Source organism: Homo sapiens, chromosome 13, assembly GCF_000001405.40.
Source record: "Homo sapiens chromosome 13, GRCh38.p14 Primary Assembly".
NCBI lineage: Eukaryota > Metazoa > Chordata > Mammalia > Primates > Hominidae > Homo > Homo sapiens.
In genome coordinates this window covers 90,096,597-90,118,350 of record NC_000013.11, presented here as the reverse complement: position 1 = coordinate 90,118,350, position 21,754 = coordinate 90,096,597, and the positions used below count along the sequence as shown (strand labels likewise).

The following is a 21,754-nucleotide window of genomic DNA, read 5'->3' as shown; positions in this document are numbered from 1 at the left end:
CCACTTTTAAATAGGAGGAAATTGAGGCACACAGAAGGTGAAAAGAACTAAGGTTCAAGCCCAGAAATGACTAATACCCACGCCTGTGTTCTTCCTGCTTCCATTCTGCATCTGCACTCTATCTTAACACAAAGATTGCAATTCCATTTTATTTCCAAAACTAAATAGTATAAATATTAAGAAGGAATTATAGTTCCAGGACATTTTTTAGGCACATGAAAAGTTTTAGAAACACTACATTACTGTATATATTTGTGACTACTATTTGCTACTATAAATCCATTCTTCCCTAAGTGCTAAGTAAAAAAGATCATTAATAAGAACTTTCCTGTTTATGAGGTTATTCTGATGAAAAAAAAATAGTATACACAGTAAAAGAAAGTTACTATTTCTAAGCCTTTTTCTTGTTTTTGAGATGGCGTTTCACTCTTGTTGCCCAAGCTGGAGTACAATGGCAGGATCTCAGGTCACTGCGAACTCCACCTCCCAGGTTCAAGCGATTCTCCTGCTTCAGCCTCCTTAGTAGCTGGGATTACAGGCATGTGCCACCAGGCCCAGCTAATTTTGTATTTTTAGTAGAGACAGGGTTTCTCCGTGTTGGTCAGGTTGGTCTCAAACTCCTGACCTCAGGTGATCCGCCCACCTTGCCTCCCAAAGTGCTGGGATTACAGGCATGAGCCACCGTGCCCGGCCTTCAAAGACACTTTTAGTGAGATAATGTTGAAGTTGAATTTATCCTTCTAAAATTTATATGTTGAACTCTTACACCCCCAGAGTGATTTATTTTGAATTAAGGTCTTTAGGGAAGTAGTGTAGTCACAAGGCTAGCCCCTCATCTGCTATGCCTATTGTCCCCTTAAAAGAGGAAGAGACCCCAGACAGCTCTCTCTCAGCACAAACACAGAGGGAAGGCTACATGAGCACACAGTGAGAAAGTAAGTCAAAATCCAGGAAAAAAAAAAGGTCTTATCAGAAACCAATCTTGATGGCACCTTGATCTTGGACTTCTAGCTTCCAGAACAGTGCAAAAGTAAATTTCTGTTGTTCATAACAGCCAGTCTGTAGCGACTTGCTATGGTGACCCTAGGAGACAAATGCAGCTAGTTATTATTAACCTGTCATATTTAGAATCGTTTATAGGATAGCTGTGTATATCTATATCTGTATTTGTAGCTCATTCTCTCTGTGCCTTTCTCATGGGCTCTATTGTTGGCTTTCTCTCTGTTCCTTTCTTTCTCCTTGTCAGTCTCTTTTGTCCCTCATGTACTGGTTGCTTCGAAGAGGGAATACAACATAAAAATAGGTAATTTTCAGCTTTTTAGGGTAAAACTATATAGTCATCCCTCCGTATCCAGGGGGAATTGGCCACAGAAACCCTTGTGGATACCAAACTCCACAGATGCTCAAGTCTGTGATATAAAGTGGTGTAGTATTTGCATATAACCTATGCACATCCTTCCATATATTTTATATCATCTTTTGATTATTTATACTTAATACAGTGTAAATGCCATGTAAAGAATTTTTGTCCTGTATGATATGTGAAATAATGGCAAGGAAAACAACAGTGTGTAAATGTTCAGTACAAACACAACCATCCATCTGTTTTTAATAATTTTCATTTGCAATTGGTTGAATCTAGGGATGCTTAACCCACAGATAAAGAGAGCTGACTATAGATACTACAGATACTACAAATGATTAGGAACTTCTTCCGTTCAGGGACTACATTTGGGAATCCTAGCAACAGAAATCCCTAAACCTTAATGGGGAATAGCCTATATGGCAGATAACCCTTCTTTATCTATTGTGGTTTAGAACTCATAGAGGCTGCAAAAACCCATATCTAAAATAAATGTAAGGTGTATCTAGACAGAAGTTCCCAAGACATTCTCAGCAAGCTCTACAAGTTTCAACATAGTCACAACAGAGTGACTGGTGTGTGTTCAACTGTAGCATGAAATGTTTTCTGACAGCCCCACCAACTTTTCTAAACACCAGAAAGATTCAAAGAAGTAGCATTGTGAGCATGTACTGAGAGTGACTGAAGAAGAGGAACATCTGGATTCAAAGACACTGTTAAAAAACAAGACAACAATGACTTGTGTGGCTGTCCTAGCAGATGCCAGCTTGACAACATAATGATTGGGAAGAAGATCAGATGCCTACCTTTTTCCTTTCTCTACATATACACAAGCCTGTTATCAAAAGTGAAACAATAGACTGAGATCCAGTTTCCAGCAACTGAAGAAATAGAAACTACAGACATAGTTGGGCTATAGAGCACTGAAGAAAACTATGTTCCTTGCACAGCTGAGTTTGTTGTTTGAGGGTTGTAGGAGAGAAATGGGGAGAGATTTTGCGTATTAATACAAACTAAGATATTAGTATATGTTCACCTGATACGATCTATTTTCAGATGCTTTTTAATATTTTATGTTTTCAGATCTAAGATCTTTTTTTTTTTGAAATGGAGTCTTGCTCTGTCGCCCAGGCTGGAGTGCAGTGGCGCGATCTGGGCTCATCGCAAGCTCCAACTCCAGGGTTCATGCCATTCTCTTGCCCGCCACCACGCCCAGATAATTTTTTGTATTTTTAGGAGAGATGGGGTTTCACCATGTTAGCCAGAATGGTCTCCATCTCCTACTCTTGTGATCCACCCGCCTCAGCCTCCCAAAGTGCTGGGATTACAGACATGAGCCACCACGCCCGACCCAGATTTAAGATCTTAAATTTAGTGTTTTACATCTTTTACCATATCATCTGGTACTGCTATATCTTATCTCCTTCTTAGTTCTCTTTTAACATTTTTTTCATTGTTTCTTATTTGAATTTCTCCATCATGGTCTCTTGTCATTCTAATTTACTTGCAGATTCATCTTGCTAAACTGGACTTCTGAACACCCTTCTAGACAAAATGTTTAGTGTTTATCCTTTAGCTCTAGGTTTAAGTTTTGTAATGTGTGTCATCTACACTTACCTTTGCATGGTAGCCAACACTAAGTGTCCTGTTGATATTCATGCCACAACCAAACTAGACATATCAGGGGTTCTCAAAACTAGGTTTCTACTTTCACCATTTTGAGAAAGCTGTTCATACATTCCTCATGTCTATTTTTTTTCTTTTTCCTGTTTTAAGGCCTAGTTTTAATCATTTGTTCCTTGTAAAACTTTTCTGATTGACTTCTTGTTCAGGATTTCTCTGACCTCACTGTGTTGGACCTGCCTTCCTTCCTGATCTATCAAATTCAAGTTTTGTATTTTTTTCTTTGTACTATACGTATATTTTCTCTCATCTTTTTTCCCCCAGACAATCAATCTCTTTACTTCTTGCAATTACGTATGATTTACCTTGTAGGTAAATTACCGTGTAGGTTTGGATGATACATTTTATTATAAATACATGTTTTTAAATTCATAGATTAATGTATGAGCAACAATGAAAACATTAACTATTCTTTAAAATATATATCGTATATCACACAACACACTGTGCTTTTTTTCTCCTAAAGTTTTTTAGGCGTATTTTTTAACCTATCTAGTTATATCAACACCATTCTACCCAGCGTGGAAACAAATAATGCCAAGTGGTCATTCCACAGAGAACTGCCATTCTATGAAATTATATCATCAATAATAAGAACATATCATATATCTTTGAACATGATTATTCCTGAGAAGTTTTTCTGCCAAGAAGTTACATTTCATAAAATTTCTGCTTTATTGCTTTAATTGGATAAGAAAACTTTATAGTGTTTTATAATGTCAAAAAGAAACACAAAGCAGTACCTCATTAATACCTCTAGCTTTATGAGCAAATATCTACAAATTCCTGACATTTCCTAGACTTTATCCATAGTTCCTTATTCTACTTTCTACAACTCATTCCCTTTATATTTGCTGAGTCTCCACTCTCCTTTGATAGGCAATCCTTGTTACTCCTGGAGCTTTTTTGTGGCTGACCAAGCTTGCAGTGCTTCTTTAAGCAGGCACATGTTATTGTTAATGGTCTTAGTCTTGAAAGTTGAGTTCAAACTCACCTAATTCACCACATTTAAACTTAGATCAGCTTTTCTTGACTTGTAGTATGGTCTCCTGGAAAATTCCATGTTTTATTCCTTATACTTAGCCTTCAGCATTATTTCTCCAGCTAAGAACTGTAAATTTTTCTCTGAATAGAATTTTTAAAAACCTCCACTAATGCTAGATGTGACAAACCATTCTGATCAGGTCTTAAATGTCAGACTGGAAAATAATGGGTCTATGAAAATGGAGAAACTCTTTTTTTAATTATAGTTTAAGTTCTGAGATACATGTGCAGAATGTGCAGGTTTGTTACATAGGTATACCCATGCCATGTTGGTTTGCTGCACCCATCAACCTGTCAGCTACATTAGGTATTTCTCCTAATGCTGTCCCTCCCCTAGCCCCCCACCCCCTGACAGACCCCAGTGTGTGATGTTCCCCTCCCTGGGTCCCTGTGTTCTCATTGTTTGACTCCCACTTATCAGTGAGAATGTGCGGTGTTTGGTTTTCTGTTCCTGTGTTAGTTTGCTGAGAATGATGGTTTCCAGCCTCATCCATGTCCCTGCAAGGGACATGAATTTATCCTTTTTATGGCTGCATAGTATTCCATGGTGTATATGTGCCACATTATCCTTATCCAGTCTATCACTGATGGGCATTTGGATTGGTTCCAAGTCTTTACTATTGTGAACAGTGCCACAATAAACATACATGTGCATGTGTCTTTATAGTAGAATGATTTATAATCCTTTGGGTATATACCCAGTAATGGGATTGCAGGGTCAAATGGTATTTCTTGTTCTAGATCCTTGAGGAATTGCCACAGTGTCTTCCACAATGGTTGAACTAATTTACACTCCCAACAGTGTAAACGCATTCCTATTTCTCCACATCCTCTCCAGCATCTCGTTTCCTGACGTTTTAATGATCGCCATTCTAACTGGCATGAGATGGTATCTCACTGTGGTTTCAATTTGCATTTCTCTAATGACCAGTGATGATGAGCTTTTTTTTTCATGTTTGTTGGCTGCATAAATGTCTTATTTTGAGAAGTGTCTGTTCATATCCTTCACCCACTTTTTGATGAGGTTGTTTGTTTTTTTCTTGTACATTTGTTTAAGTTCCTTGTAGATTCTGGATATTAGCCCTTTGTTAGATGGATAGATTACAAAAATCTTCTCCCATTCTGTAAGTTGCCTGTTCATTCTGATGGTATTTTCTTTCGCTGTGCAGAAGCTCTTTAATTTCATTAGATCCCAATATATTACAGGTTTAGTTGATCCACATGTTTGTTAAATCTTGATTCTGCCATTCTGTTTAATTCAAACAATTGTAATGTTCTCTCCTTATAGTTTTAGCCACCATTTCCCTGATGATTAATAATGTTGGCGAGTCATAGTGCCTTTGTTGTTGATCTCTTAATACTAATTTTTTTGTCTGTTTTCAATTGGAGTGTTTGACATAATATCATTTTGTTGTGACTGTTTATAAAATTCTGTCTTTCTCCTTTTCTCTCTCTTCCTCTCTCTCACACACACACACACACAAACACACACACACATACACACACAGACACAGACAAAACTAATACATTTTCTGCCAGACTATGGTTAGTTTATTTCGTTTATTTTAGTATTTTTTTAAAAGTAAAAGTTTTTCATATCTACCAAGTCCATATATCATCTTTTTTTCTCATTGTCTGCCTTTTTGTATTCTATATTGCCTAATCCAAAGCCATAAATTATTTTGTCCTTTATTGATTTGTGGAAGTTAGTTTTATAATTTTTGCTCTATAATTACTTAGTGAAACAATCTAAATTAGTTTTTTGTATAATGTGAGATAAAAGATGAGCTACTTTTTTTTTACTGATGGGTGTCTAATTATACAAGCATAATTTTTTAAAAAGGCTTGTTCTTTTTTGAAGTATCCTCTCAGAATTATTAAAGAAAATTGAATATACATATATGGACATGTTTCCCAAATCTATTCTGATCTTTTTATGTATACATCTATATTTAAAGAAACAGCCCACTATGTTGATAAATGTAAATTTAAAATATATCTTGCAACAAGGTAGGTTAAAACTTCTAACTTTGTTTCTTGTAACCAATCTCTCTGAAATTCTGTATAAATTTTAAAATCATCTTTTCATTCTCTCTTATAAATCCAACTATGATTGTAATTGGGAATGTGTTTAATGTATGCATCAACATAATGAGAACTGACATAATCATACATTACTTTCAGGACTATGAACCTGAAATAAGTTTACCCATGTATATTTTCTTGAATTTTTCTCTATAGTTTCTTAGTGTTTATTATATAGCACTTTTATATATGTTGTCAAACTGAAATATTTCATATTTCCAATAGTACTATAAAATATACTTACAATGCTACTATAAAATATTTTTTAAAATTATTTCATTTTTAAAATTTTTCTCAGCAAAGTTTTATGGTTTTTATTATATAGCACGTAAGCATATCTTATTTAATTTAAACATAAATCTTTCCTATTAATAATCCTAATATAAAATATTTTTAAAAATTCATTTCAGCTTTTTATTGTGCATATGTAGAAATACAATCAATTTGGTACCCTATTACCTTGCTAAATTCACATATTAGTTCCAACATCTTTTCTATAAATTCCTTTACAGTGTCTGCATAACTTTCATGGATTCTGTAAGCAAATATAAACTTAATTTACTTTGCAAACATATTTGCCATTTATGTATGGATTTTTTTGTTGTTGTTTATTGCACATGCTAGGACCTCCAGTATAATGTTGAATACATAGGTGCTAAATTTTATCAAATGTTTTGTGTCTTTTGTCATGATTCTACATTTTCTCTCTTTTAGTTTCTTAATATGTTGGATGTTATTGCTTGATTTGCATAACAGTTAAACTTACCTTTTATTACTGAGATAAAATGCAATTTACTTTTATATATTATCCTATTAACATGTTTCTCATTTCAATTTGATAGCTTTTTAAAACAATTTGTGAATCTATGTTCACAAGGAATATTAATATTTAGCTATAATTTGTTTCTTTGATTTTCATCTTGAGGCCTTTCTGCTTGTGACATCTTACTCTATCGAGGTAATATCAGGTTGACACTACTTTTGTAAAACAATCTGGAAAATATTTATTCCTCGTTTATTTTCTGGAAGAGTTTTTCTGAGTTTTGCTGGTATTAATTATTTCTTAAATAGCTGGTGTAATTCACTGTTAAAGTCATACAGGCCTGCAGTTTTATTTATAGGAAATATTTTAAATGATAAATTTAACTTTTTAACTTGTGTAGGTATATGCAGGATACCTTTTTTCTTAATTGAGTTTATAAAGATTTCTTGGAAAGTAAATTTTATACTGTTGTTTCATAAATAACTAGCATGATGAACATGAGGGCTTTGAAGGGTTATATATTCTTATTCTTTTTTCTAAGATAAAAAAAAAACTCTGCCATATATTAGTAATCAGGCTTCTTAATCTTGCAGGCATACACTGTTCTGAAATAGAGCTGCTTCTTTTGGGATAGACTCAGATGTACACTGGCTATTAAAGTGGAAAATATCATTTTCCTTAAGCCAGATTGTAGCTATAAATTGCATTTATATTTTTGAACTGAATTTTACAGAAAATCTTATACATTACTATGTTGTTTGGAAAGTACTTCTTCTGATCTTATTTTCTTTATTTTTACTTTATGAGAACTATCCTCCATTTCAAAACATATTTTTGCTTTTTATAACATCCAATCGACGATACATGTATCCATTTTCTCTTTCTCCGTCTAATCCCTAATATAAAGATTCTTATTCCAATTCAACACTATTGCCTATAACATTTTCTAGGCACTTTTGCATATATTGCATCAAATTTCAGTTAGGTCCCCTTGATCAGTTAAGCAACTCCTCAAATAAGTTCATTTCTTTCACTTGTGAGATCATAACTCTAATCAATGGTTGACAATGCCTGTGCTTTAAACAATGTTCCAATTCATGTTATCTTATCTGTTTACATTATGTAGCCAGTTACTTAATTTTTGCATCTATTTCTATTCTAATGTCTAATTTTGAACATTGATGAAGAAATTGCATTTTCAAAATTCTTCCATTATAAATAAAATTTATTCTACCTGCTTTTCAGCCTCAAAGGTTTTGACGTATCAATACTCACCATTCATGTCCACTTACCAGAGGAATTATTAATTTGTACTAAAGTGTGAACCATATGTCGTGCATACTCATTATCTCTGGACCACAAACTATAATCCATTTCAAGTCTCTTCTCAAGATTATTTTAGTTCTTTTCAACAGGGAGTCTGAAATTACTATTGTATATATTTTTGTTATTGTTAGTTCTTTAACTGTGTGTTTGAGAACATCTCTGATATTCAATTTGGTTTCAGTTATGTTTTTCCTCAGGGTTTTTGTGAATATTATGCAATATATTGATTGATACTTAAATGTAAAAATGTTTGAGTTCCTGGTATAAACTCAAATGCAAATAATGTATTTAATCTTTTATATACCACTGGCTCAAGTTTCTTTTTGTTTACTTGTTTTTCTTCAGAATTTTTGCATTTATATTCAGGAGAGGGATTCACTATATACTCTTCAACTTAATCTATTCTTGTTAGGTTCAATTTTCAAGGTTATACCAGCCCTAAAATATGGGCTAGGAAATGTTCCTTTTTCTTTTAAAAATATGGGTGACTTTGATCAGTGTTTAATTTTTCCTACAAAGAGTATGGAAATTTCACCAGTGAGGAAAACTGTTCTGGTCTGTGGGAACATTTTAAATTGTGGATGTACACACACACACACACACACACACACACAATCTCTTATTATGTCAGTTTTAGAAAGATAAATGTGTGGGTGGTAATTTATGGATTGTCCATTTTTTCCACATTTTAAAATGTTTTGTATTCAGCTGTCCAACATATTCCAGGTTCTATTGGTTTCCGCTTTTGGCAAACATTTCTTGACAGGTACTGATATTCAAAATATCCCACCCATGATCCTACACGAATATCAGCCTTTCTTCCGTTTGTCAGCATCTCATTGTCAATTCTGTTAAAATTCTCAGACTTGTCCCAGCTTCTTTAGAATTTCCCGGTACACTGAGGAGAAAAGAGCTACTTTAAAACTGGTGGGTGCATGGAAGAGAAGAATGCTGCTTAAAATTAGCAGATGTGTTGAGGGCAAAAGCAGCACTCAAGTTTGGACTCCCCTCTCTGCTTCATTTTTTTCCTGAGATCTTAGCCCTAACAGCGCTTTGTGCTTTGATAGATTCTTATGCTTTCCGACATAAATTTTCTGTGTTTGGTTGACATCACCAGGTGTGGTGGTCCCAAATGAGCTAGCCCACTCTGGTGGTCTTGCATATACTACTGTGAGGAAAGCAAAGGGATAATGTTCCCAGCTGCTGCAGTCTAATTCATCTCTATAGTGGTGCTGAACATGCTTCTCATGGTTGTTCCAACTGATAACTGAGTATGACAGAGATTCTCAAGCTAGCCTATTCCTATGAGCTGTGAGAATCCTCAGACAGATGATTTTTCCTGTAGGAATTTCCATTGGCCTTGCCAAATTTTCTTAATACTGCACTGCAATTGAAAAATTTATTTCCTTTCTCCTTTTTTCACAGAGATCAGGATAGAATTGCTGTTTGACATCTCTCCCAACTTCCTTATGCTCTCCGGAGCAGAACACTTCACAGCAGTTATCAATCCCAGGGGGAGGATCCAAACACTTCTTCCTATTGCATCTTGGAACTGGAGTCACTAAGAAAAATGCAACATGGTCAAGCACTGGGTAGAACAACACACTTTACTTACAGAGAGAAGAAACAGAACAAGATAAGCTTAATAGAGTGCTGTGATCCCTTATGGCTAGCACGTCACCCAGGCAGGTCACCCAGGCAGGTGGCTGAGAATGGGCAATTGGCCTACACGCACCCCTGTCGGGCTGAAGCAGAAGAACCCAACCCCTCCTCCATGGAGTCTGAAATAGTAAAAACTGGGTATGTTCCTGAGGACCATTGACTTACGAGCTTAAACGGAACAAAGGAGTGCACCCTGAGCTTATAAGAAAAGATACTTGCATATAAGACAATAGGCCCTGCAGAGGCTATCTGGGCTTTTGATGTTTTGCAATAAAAAATTTCTAGGATCAAGGCCCATTTTTATGCAGTCAACTGGGGGTGGAAAGACCCCACAAACTACCTTTCCCAACAGCCTGTCTTCCTTGTTGAGAAAATTCTCTCAAGGTATTTACCAGCAGTAAGTTGTTTGATCCTCTAGAATGTCTAATGTCATCTTGATGTTGGATTATTGTGTTACCAAGCTAACACAAGTGATGCCAAGAATAGCCTGAGAAATGCAGCAGTAAGATGGGGATTTATGACTGACCCACCCCCTTGCTGGCGGGTGAGAGGATGCCATCTCTGTTGGAAGGTGAGGCTCGAATCATTCTTGGCACAAAGTCCCAGGTCAGTCATCTGCCAGTTGGTGTTAGCCAGTGTCAAAGGACAAGACTACAATACATTTAGTTAATGATATAACTGGCTTTCTTTCATGATTCATGAATTGGGGTAGCATTCTATTCTGTAGAATAAGAGCTTCCCTGAGCTGAGCAGAAAAGGATGGCTTCATAGGCAGAAAAAGACTGAAGAAAGAAATAATGAATGGAAAGTGAATTGCTTGTTCCAGGGTTACTTTCCTTACAGAATTAAAACGAGGGGACTTCCTTATTATGCTAAATTGAATTGACTGGAATCTTGCTTGTTTTTCTTCTTGAAATTTTGCCCATTTCAAAGTTCAGTTTGATTAAGTGGCACTTATCAGGAGTGACTCCATTCTGGTTTGGTCTGGTCTACTGAGGCCTAGTGCAGGAAGGCAGTTCAAGACAATGACCTCCCATAAAATTTGGTTAACATCATGCTTTATTATCAGTCACATGAAAACTGCCTGAATTGTCACAGAATGGAGTGGCAAAGTTGGAGACTACATGTGGATCTAAGAGCTTAGACGCTTAATTATAATAGCTGATCTAGCTACTCCTGCCTCTGAAAGACCAACTTGTCAACCTTTAATATGAATATCCCTTAAAGGAACCTAAAGGACACTTGGTGGTAAATTGACTATATTGAGCTTCTCCCTTCCACGAAGGTCGTGGATACCCATTCTGGTTATAAGTCTGCTTTGCCACCCTTGAGTCTGAGCCAAAATCCTTCACTGGTGCTTATGGTATGCCTGATACACAGCGTAGCTTCTGATCAGGAAACCCTCTTGACAGTGAAGGATGTGAGGGGCAAAGCCCAAACCCATGGGCTTCAATCATTGTATCACACACAGACCCATCCATAAGCAGCTGGTATCACAAGGTGTTGGAAGAGCTTCTAAATGCACCCTCCTCAAGTCTCAGGTGTAAGACAATAATCAAAAAGGATGTGGTATTTCATAGGAAGAAAAAAGTTGTTCATCATTAGAAAGAACAGAAGGTCTTGAAACCAAGGAGGAGAAAAACGAGTAACTCCACTTACTACACTTCCTATTGATTTAATGAAGGATTTGCTTCCCATCTCTGCAAATCTGGGTTCATCAGCTTGAAGGTCCTGTTCCTCAAAGCTGGTGTATTTTGGTGACTAGAAGCAGCAAGTGTCCCAATGGACTACCATTTATGACTACCAGGGAAGTTCAGACTCCTTGTGCCCAAAGTTTACCAGGTGAAAAGAATTGTCACTATACTGGCAGGAATAATTGATCTTGATCAGTAGGAAGAGATAGGGCTGCTTTTAGGGAGGAAACAATCTTTGTGATGTCCAGTTAATTCATTTGAGTTTCTCATAGTAATTCTGTGTTGTACTATGTTTGTGAATAAACATATGCAGCAAACCTAGACCAAGAAGCTTAAGATTATTAAGCATTCAGCAGCCACACAAGAAAAGCCAGTGTGACTTGCCAAGTTACTAGCTGACAGTGAGAAAAAAATTTAATGTATAACAGGGTGGGGGAATGAGTACCAACCAGTTGGAGCCCTGGGGGCATCTGCAGCCTGGGCCTATAATTCATCCTACTAACTTTCCTCTTCTGACTTTCCTCTCAGGAAGAAAGGCCTGCAGATACAATAGAAAAGCCTTCACACAAATCTGCTGGAGAAGTAGATCCGGGTGAAACAGCAGGAAAACTGTCGTAAAAATGCATATCTCAGATCTCCTACTAGTAGGGTCATAAGCAACCCATGACTCCAGCTGCTGAGGTCTAAATCTGTCACTACTTATGCTCGGAGACTATTTCCTGTGGAGGAAGTATTCTTAACCAATTACTGCATTTGGCTGTGATATGAAAGTTGGCTCAGTCCTGTAAGTTTCCAGATTCTTCTAAGAGTGAACTGCATTGTAATCTGAGAATTTATGTTTTCCCTTCCTTTCATTCTTCTCTTTCAAAGGGTTTAGTACTACATTGTAGTTCGATGGTTTTCCAGCCTCCTCTGGTTTCTCAATACACAAAAGTTCTTCCAGTAAATCTTTTACATACATAATGCTTTCTTGGTCTCTGCTTTGTAGAGAACCTGGAGTAATACCTCTTATTCATACAAGCTAAATTTAACAACATAATTTATTTTATTTAAGGTACTAGGGGAACACAAAAGGAAATTTTTAAAATAAACTTTATGAGGAGGATGCTCTGCTAGTACAGTAAAAAAAAAAAAATGAGAAGTGGTTTCATGATGACTAACCAAAGAAAACTCTACTAGCCTCCTCTACAAAGAAGAAGCAAATTATGAGTAATCACAATTTGAATGGATCATCCAAAACAAAGCATGCAAATTCAACAGAGAAGTGATAGGAAACACCTAAGCAAGGAAGGAGGGAGAAGCCTGGAAACCTGTTTGGCTGGGATGGGCTGGAGCCTAGAGAAACTCCCCACTGTGGAGGAAAGGTAAGTGAGAGAACAGACTACTGCAATCTTAGCCATGGTAGAGCCTCTCAAACTTTGCAGGTTCTAAAATAGGGAGCTGCCTGAGACTGTACGATGGCACTTCTCCAGAGAGAAAGCTGACATTGAGTCCCACTCATGCCCCAAGTCCTAAGAAGCTCCAAAAAGGCACTATTTTGAGAACCCAACCATGAACAGACAGCACCTTACACTGGGGCCTAACCACACCTGCAGCTCCACATTCCTGGGGCCCCACTGAGTTCCCTTGCCTGCAGCCACCACCATGGCTGGCTGCTGTCACAAGGGTGGAAGAATGGGGTGTTGGCAGCAAACTTGCCTCCTTGAGCAGCAGAGCCACAATTCATTTTCATGAGCCCACACAGAGTTCCCCACCCATGGCTGCCATCACTGCAGGCTGCTGCCACTGGGGCTAGAGTGCAAGTGAAGCGCACCTTCCCCACCTGCCTGCCACTGACTGCTGCCCACCATCTTCAGTAGCAGGACCTCAGTGTACCCACTGCTACTCTCCACCCAAGCATTCTGCCAGGGTCCTGCAGATAATTTCAGCCCTGCCTACGACATCCAGTACCTACACACACCTTCAGGGGACCTAAGGACAAGCCTGCGCAGCCTGGCTTCACAACCCTCATGCAGGAGCATGATGTCCAGGGACCTGGTAATTGCCAAACCCCTGTCCACCACCATTGGCACCTGAGCACTCCTCCTGGAAGCCTGAGGTTGGGCCTCCCTTACCCTACTGCTACCACCACAGCTGGCACCTACCTGCCTGTACCACATGTAGGCCTGGAGACTGGTCAGCTCAGCTCAATACAAATATCACCAACACCAGCCTTCACTGCTCAGAACCGAGAGGATTGTCCCAATATAGCTATCATCATCTTCCACACCAGGCCTGCTGCCCAGGAGCCGAAGAACCCTCCCACACCCGTGGCCCACAACTGCCACTACTAGCTTCCAAGCAAGCCACCTGGAAGCCGAAGTATTGACCAACCTGGACCAACTTATACCAGTGCCAGTGTACATTGCTCTGGTGCCCAAGAACAGGCATGCTCATCCCACAGATGCCACCATGGGGCCCAAAGACTGGGATACAATTTATCCCTGTCCCCAGCAAAACTTCACCACAGCCTCCACTAATAACCACACCTTCAGTCACTGAGGATAATACAGATACCACTGATGCTGATTTATAGTCAAAGAAATAATATAGAGACTACATGACTGCACAAGTGCAGAACCCTACCCAACCAACTCCATAGATATATCCCCCCCAAAAGTCCTCCCATACTAAAGCCACTCCAAAAAAATCAGAAAAAGCAACTGTTACACCATATTTGCAGATATCAACATAAGGACACATAAAATATAAAACAGCAAGGAAATATGACACCTCCAAAGGGACACAATAATTCTTCAGCAATGGATCGGAACAATAAAAGGATTAAAAGGATTACAACCCAGAAAAAATTTAAAACACTGATTTTAGAGGTGGCAGACCAAAATGCCAAAATAGGACCTTCCAGTGATCATCCCTCCTGCAAGAAGACCAATCTGAACCACTATGCACACAAGATAGCACCTTCATAAAAACCAAAAATCAAGTCAGTAATCATAGTACCTGGTATAACATCATATAAAGGAAAGAGACACTGAAGAAGGTAGGAAAGTCAGTCCTGCATTGCCTACAGTGCCCCTCCTTCACCCCCCCAGCAGTGGCCATATGGCACAAAGAATCTGTTTGCTTGGGGGAAGGAGAGCACAGTGATTATCAGACTTTGCATTAGAATCCAATGCTGCCCTGTCACAGTGGAAATCAACATAGAGCAGAATTGAGCCTGGGCCCATGGAGGGAGGTGAATTGTCCATCCCAATGGTCAGCAATTGAGTTCCAGCTAGCCCCACCTGTGGCCTAAACTGCCTTTCAAATTTATTTTAAACCCCAGACGAAAGTGTTCTGGGGTCATAAATAAATTTGAAAGGCAGTTTAGGTCACAAGGATTGCAATTCCTGGGCAAGTCCTGGTGCCATTCTGGGCTTGGAGCCAGTGGACTTGAGTGCATATCACCTAGTGAAACACCAGCGGGGGTGGCCAAGGGGTGACATCGCCCCTCCCCAATACCAGGCAGCACAGCTCACAGCTCTAGAAAAGTGAAGAGGACTGTGTCTTGCAACTTGAATGCAAGCTCAACTATAGTAAAATAAGGCACTAAGCAGACTCGTAGATAATATGACTAGATAGATCTCTATGAGGAAAACTGCAAAACACTGATTAAAGAAACTGAAGAGGACAGAAACAAATGGAAATTCATCCCAGGCTCATGGAACCTGTATTAGTCTGTTTTCACAGTGCTATAAAGAAATACCCAAGACTGGGTAATTTAGAGAGAAAAGAGTTTTAATTGACTTACAATTCTGCATGTCTGGGGAGGCCTCAGGAAACTTATAATCATGGCAGAAGGTGAAGAGAAAGCAAGTACCTTCTTCACATGACAGCAGGAGGGAGGGGAGAGAGCGAAGGGAGAAGACATGCTTATAAAACTGTGAGAACTGCTTCACTATCATGAGAACTGCATTGGGGAAACCGCCCCCATGATCCCCTGGTCCCTCCCTCAACATGTAGGGATTATGGGGATTACAATTCAAGATGAGATTTGGGTGGGGACAGAGCCAAACCATATCAGAACCAAAGAATGAATACCCTAAAATGACAATACTGCCCAAACAAATCTGCAGACTCAATGCAATATTTATCAAAATATCAATATCATTTTTTATAGAATTAGAAAAAAAAATCCTAAAATTTATGTGGAACCAAGAAAGAGCCCAAATAGTCAAAGCAATTCTGAATTTAAAAATAAAACACAACAAAACAAAGCTGGAGGCATCGCAGTACCTGACTTCAAAATATGTTACAAGGCATAGTGACCAAAACAAGATGGTGCTGGTATAAAAACAGACATGTACACGAATTGAACAGAATAAAGAATCCAGAAATAAACTCATATGTTACAGCCAAATGATTTTTGACAAAGGCACTGATAACATACACTGGGAAAGGACACCCTCCTCAATAAATGGTGCTGGGAAAACTGGAGATCCATATGCAGAAGAATGCAAGTGGACCCCTATCTCATACCATATTTAAAAAGTCAACTCAATACAGATGAATGACTTTAATATTAGACCCATAACTACAAAACTACATTAAGAAAACATTGGGAAAACACTTCAGGACACATGTCTAGACATTTTGTGGCCAAAACCTCAAAAGCACAGAGAACAAAACCAAAAATAGACAAATGGGACAATTTTAAATTAATAAGCTTCTGCACAGCAAAGGAACAACAAAGTGAAGAGAAAACATTTTGAATGAGAGAAAATATTTGCAAACTATTCAAGGGACTAATATTCAGACTATGCAAAGAACTCAAATAACTCAACAGTAAAAAAATAAATAAATAAAAAATAATCCCACTAAAAAGTTTACAAAGGACAAGAATAGAAAATTCTCAAAAGAAGTCATGCAAATTTCCAATAGGTATATGAAAAAATGCTCAACATCATTAATCATCAGGGAAATGCAAATCAAAACTATAATGAGATATCCTCTTAAACAAATTGAAATGGCTATTAGTAAAAACAGAAAAAAAATAATAGATACTGGTTAGGATATGGAAAAAAGGAACTCATATAATCTTGGTGGGGATGTAAATTAGTACAGTAACTATGCAAAACAGTGTGGAGACTTAAAAAAAAAAAAGAACTAAAAATACGACTAGCATATTAACCAGCAATCTCACTACTGGATATTCATTCAAAGGAAAAGAAATCAGTATATTAAAGGGTTACTTGGACTTACATGTTTATTGCAGCACTATTGTCAATAACTGAGATATGGAATCAACCTAAGTGTCCATCAACAAATGAAGAAATAAAATGTCATATATATATGTAATTAAATATTATTTAGTGATATGAATGAAATTATGTCATTTGTAGCAATATTGATGGCACTGGAGGATGGCCCTGGAGGTCATTATGTTAAGTGAAATACACCAGGCAGAGAAAAGTATTTTACATGTTCTAAATCGTAAGTGGGAGCTAAGAAATTTCATCGAATGGAGGTAGAGAATAGAATAATATTAATAGATACCAGAGGCTGGGAAAGATGTGTGTATAGTATGGGAAATGAAGAGAGCTTAGGTGATGGATCCAAATGTACAGCTAGATTGAAGTTAAGTAAGTTCTTATGTTTGAAAGTAGAGTAGGGTGAGTATGGTCAGCAACAATACATTATGTATTTCAAAGTAGCTAGAAGAGAGGACATGAAGGGTACCCAACACATAAAAATGATAAATACTTGAGGTAATGGATACCTCAGAATACTCACATGTATACCACAATATGTAAAATATAGTGTATCAATTGAAAAATGAGAGGTGTACTCTCACATGATAGGGTAAAATAGACAAGATGTAACAGCATATCCAATTGTTTAGAAATAAAGAAATGCATAGGGCATTCAAGAACAGAATGTCATTCTTTGTGGATTTAATTTTTGCTACCAAACTTACATTTTGAAGTAATTCAGAATATATAATACATAATTTAAAAGTTTCATCTTTTAAATTAGTCATCTGATAAAAGATCAACTACAGATAACTAATTTTGTCTTTAATCATTTTAACATTCAAAGTGGCTATTGCTGTTCCGAATTAGGCATAAACAAAATTGTGAAGTAACTAAAATTGGCATTGGATATTATTTTTCAACATGCAAGTGTTCATCTCACTTTTAATTAAAAAAAAATCCATAAAATGCTCAGTGCTGTTAGAATATAAAATCTGAAAATAAAATCTAATATTTATTTAGAATGTGACATAAAAGACTGCTAAATCTCAGTGTTATTCTAGAATTGCTCTTTGCACTTATTTTTAGCCATGGCTTTTAAGTGCAACGAATAATGAACTCATAACTTTGGAGGATTTGATTAGCCCAATGCAGCATGCTGAAAGTAGCTTTTAGAGCACACGGTTTAAATAAAAAGAAAATGCATAAGCTTTTACACTTGACTCCACAATATATTTTAGTTAATTTTATTATAAAAATTCTCCCCATTTATTCTATAAAAATGGTGCTCCAAGATGATATTTTGTTTTATTTTTTATTTTTAAATTGAGATCGGTTCTTGCTCTGTCATCCAGGTTGGAGTGCAGTGTAGCACAATCGCAGCTGACTGTAGCCTCAACTTCTCAGGCTCCAGTGACCCTCCTACCTCAGCCTTCCAAGTAGCTGGGACCACAGGCATGTGTCACCATGCTTGGCTAATTCTTGTATTTTTGGTAGAGATGAGTTCTCACTATGTTGTCCAAGCTGGTCTTGAACTCCTGAGCTCAAGCTATCCACCCATTTGGGCCTCCCAACGTGCCGGAATTACAGGTGTGAGCCACCACACCCAGACTCTAAGATGATATTTTAAAATATCTGTGAAACAGACACAAATTTAAGGGCAAGGCATGAATCACCCATTGTTAAATTCAACATGGCAGATGCATTAACACACTTTTTCAACTCATCCACCCACTATATATTTTATATCAGAACATCACTATGTACCCCACAAATATGTACAATTTTTATTTGCCAATTAAAGTTAAAAGTAAAAGATACAAAAGGCACTAATGAGAATAAATAAATAAACAAATATACAAAAGACAAAAAATAAAAATAAGCAGAGTCTCTTGCTGGTTTTATTAAGACTAGGTGCAGTTGTCATCTGCTCAGACTCCTACTAATAGTGCTCAAATTTGGACTTCAGATATTAGAAAATCTTGAAATTCTTTCTTGCAAGTGCTGTATACAAAACATTTGCATAAATAGTAAACAATTTCCTAGTTACATCTCTCTGAACAGCTGTTAGGGTGACAAGTTAAAACTGAGATTTTTCCAATTTTTACTGAACACTATCAGTTCTGTATTTCCTATTTTTAAAAAATATATTTCTTCAATGTATTAGCCTTCAAAGCTTTATGCCCACAAATGGAACTCAAAAAGGAGGAATTTATACAAACAAAGTAATAGTAGTAGCAGGAACAAGAAGCTTTAGCCATTGATAGCATCAACACTGGATTTTAGACAGACAATTTACAATCAATATTTTAATGTTCAAGCAAGGTTAGTATAAAATAAATATGCCCAAAAAGTGAACTGACCTTTATTTAACATTTTTTATTAGCTATTTCCTAAGTATCAGGTGTTCTTTAGATACTGAGATATTTGAATGAATGAAATTTGAAATGACTCATTTAACGAACTAACCATTGTAATTGATTTTTCCCCATTTTGTTGAACTAACCATTGCAATTGATACAAATCGATTATAAACAAAATAGGGGACAAAAGTAACAGAAGTAAAGCAAGACAACACCAGACACAGTCATGTTACTCTCATCATTTCCCCTTTATTCGGACAGGTGTCCTGGTGTCACTTTAAGAATACATTCTGACATTGACTTTTTGATGCTTTCATAAAAGATAAGCCCAACTTTTTTGTGTTATTCTACAAATGATGGAAAAATTTGCTAGGTCAGCTATAATTTTTCTATTTTAATTAGATTTATTTCTTGCTTGCAGTCTTTTCACAACGGAAACTAAAACTCTGATAATTGTGAAGCCACTTTACTTATAGTATAGGTTTTAGATAGATTCCCTTTATTTCTAGACTGTTTACGTATCTAGTATTCTGTTTCCAGGCAATAACAAACAACTATCCTACAAGAACAGCCCACCTGTTAGCACTGTATAAGAGATTTTGTCCAGTTCTATGCAGGTACCTTTTTAAAAATTAAACCAAATAAAATGTCAATAAGTACACTCAACATTTTTCTTGTCAATTGCTGTTGCATTATGGCAAATCATGCTTTCTAACTTTTCACATTGCACAGTACATTGAACTGCACTCCAAGTGTTTGTTCAAAACTGAAACAGATCCATCAGTGTTTGTAAGCAAGTGGTGATAATCTATTTTCTGGGAACAGGGAAACAATTTGATACTTTGAATTCACAATGCAATGAATTTGAAACTTTGATTTACCATTCCTGGATGTAGTTTTACATCTTTGTTGTTTCTCCTTCCTTAATTTTTGATTCCTTGTAAGTGAAATATTTCTGTCTGCACTGTGAATCAGCATTAAGATTTTTGTTCTCAATAAATTTTACATTATATCTTATCTTTTTTTCATACTTAAAATGGTAGTTTGTTTGGAGTTATCGCTAAATAGTATCTTCCCCAAATAAATGACTGCTATCTACTTATCACAACTCAGCACTTTCTTTTAAGTTAAAAAAAAAAAAGAAAAACAGTTTAATGTCTGGCAAAGTATCTATGCCTATTAAAGGTTTTTGTTTTCTTTTGTTTTTTTCATTCCTTAAATCCAGTTATTTACTCAAATCTGTTATTTTGTGTATCATTATACCTTAGGTTTTATTATTTTTAGTAATATTGTTATCATTTATCATTAATTTGACTAACTGTTCATTTAGGTTTCTGTTGACCTGTTCAATGAGATTTATATATTTTTGATGAATATAAAACTAAGCATTTGAAAACGCTTTATATTGAGATAATTTTTAGACACAGTTGTAAATCTGGCATAGACAGTCTCCATCTACCTTTATTCAACTTCTCTTATATTGTCACCTTTCATATCAACAGAAAAATTATTGAAATTTAGCCTATCCCAAAAGAAACAGCTCTGTTTCAGAACAGTGTATGTCTGCAAGATTAAGAAACCTGATTATTAATATATGGCAGAGAGTATTTTTAATCTTAGAAAAAAGAATAAGAATATATAACCCTTCAAAGGCCCACGTGTTCCATGCTAGATATTTATGAAATAACAACATAAAATTTAGATATTTCTCTTGGTATAGTACTATAAAATAAATTAGAGAATTTATTGTAAGCTCACCAGTGTTTTTTCCATTATATACTTTTCTGTGCTAGTATACAATCCAGAATCACACTTTGCATTTAATTTTCTTAGTTTTCTCCAATCTTGACAGTCCCCAGTATTTTATCTTACCTGACCTTCACACATTTGAAATACACTAGACAGTTATAGAATATCTTTCAGTTTGAATTTGTCTGAATGTTTTCTTTGTATTAAATTGATGGTATACACTATCAGTAAGAATACTATGGAGGTTATCTCTCCTTTTTTTCATTGCCTCAGACCAGGGGATACCTTATGTCTGTACAGGCACACTGTGTTTTCTTGTGCTTTGCTTTATCATGCTTTGCAGATATTGTGGGGTTTTTTTTTCAAGTTTTCTGGCAACCCTGCACACACAAATCTATAGGCACAATTTTTTCAACAGCATTGGCTTACTTCATATTTCTGTGTCACATTTTGGTAATTATCAAAATATTTCAAACTGTTTTATTATTATTATATTTGTTATGTTGATCTGTGATAAGTGATCTTTGATGTTACTATTGTAATTATTTTGGGGTACCACAAATTGTGCCCATATAAAACAATAAAATTAATAAATCATGTTTGTTTTGACTACTCAACTGACCCCCAGATCCCTCACATCTCATCACCTCCTTGGCTCTACCTATTCCCTGAGACACAACAATAGTGAAATCAGGCCAACTAATAAGTCTACAATGGCCTTTAAATGTTCAAGTGAATGGAAGAGTTGTATATCTTTCACTTAAAATCAAAAGCTAGAAATGATTAAACTT

General features: G+C 36.4%; 1 long non-coding RNA gene across 1 annotated transcript in view; it reads left to right on the top strand.

The window, feature by feature from the left end:
- The window catches only part of LINC00559 (long intergenic non-protein coding RNA 559), a 59,471-nt gene that overhangs the window by 1,367 nt on the left and 36,350 nt on the right, over window positions 1-21,754 (top strand). The window contains exons 2-3 of the long non-coding RNA NR_047489.1: window positions 9,690-11,768; window positions 12,149-12,404. This is a non-coding gene — a long non-coding RNA (long intergenic non-protein coding RNA 559). The remainder of the gene's footprint in view (window positions 1-9,689; window positions 11,769-12,148; window positions 12,405-21,754) is intronic.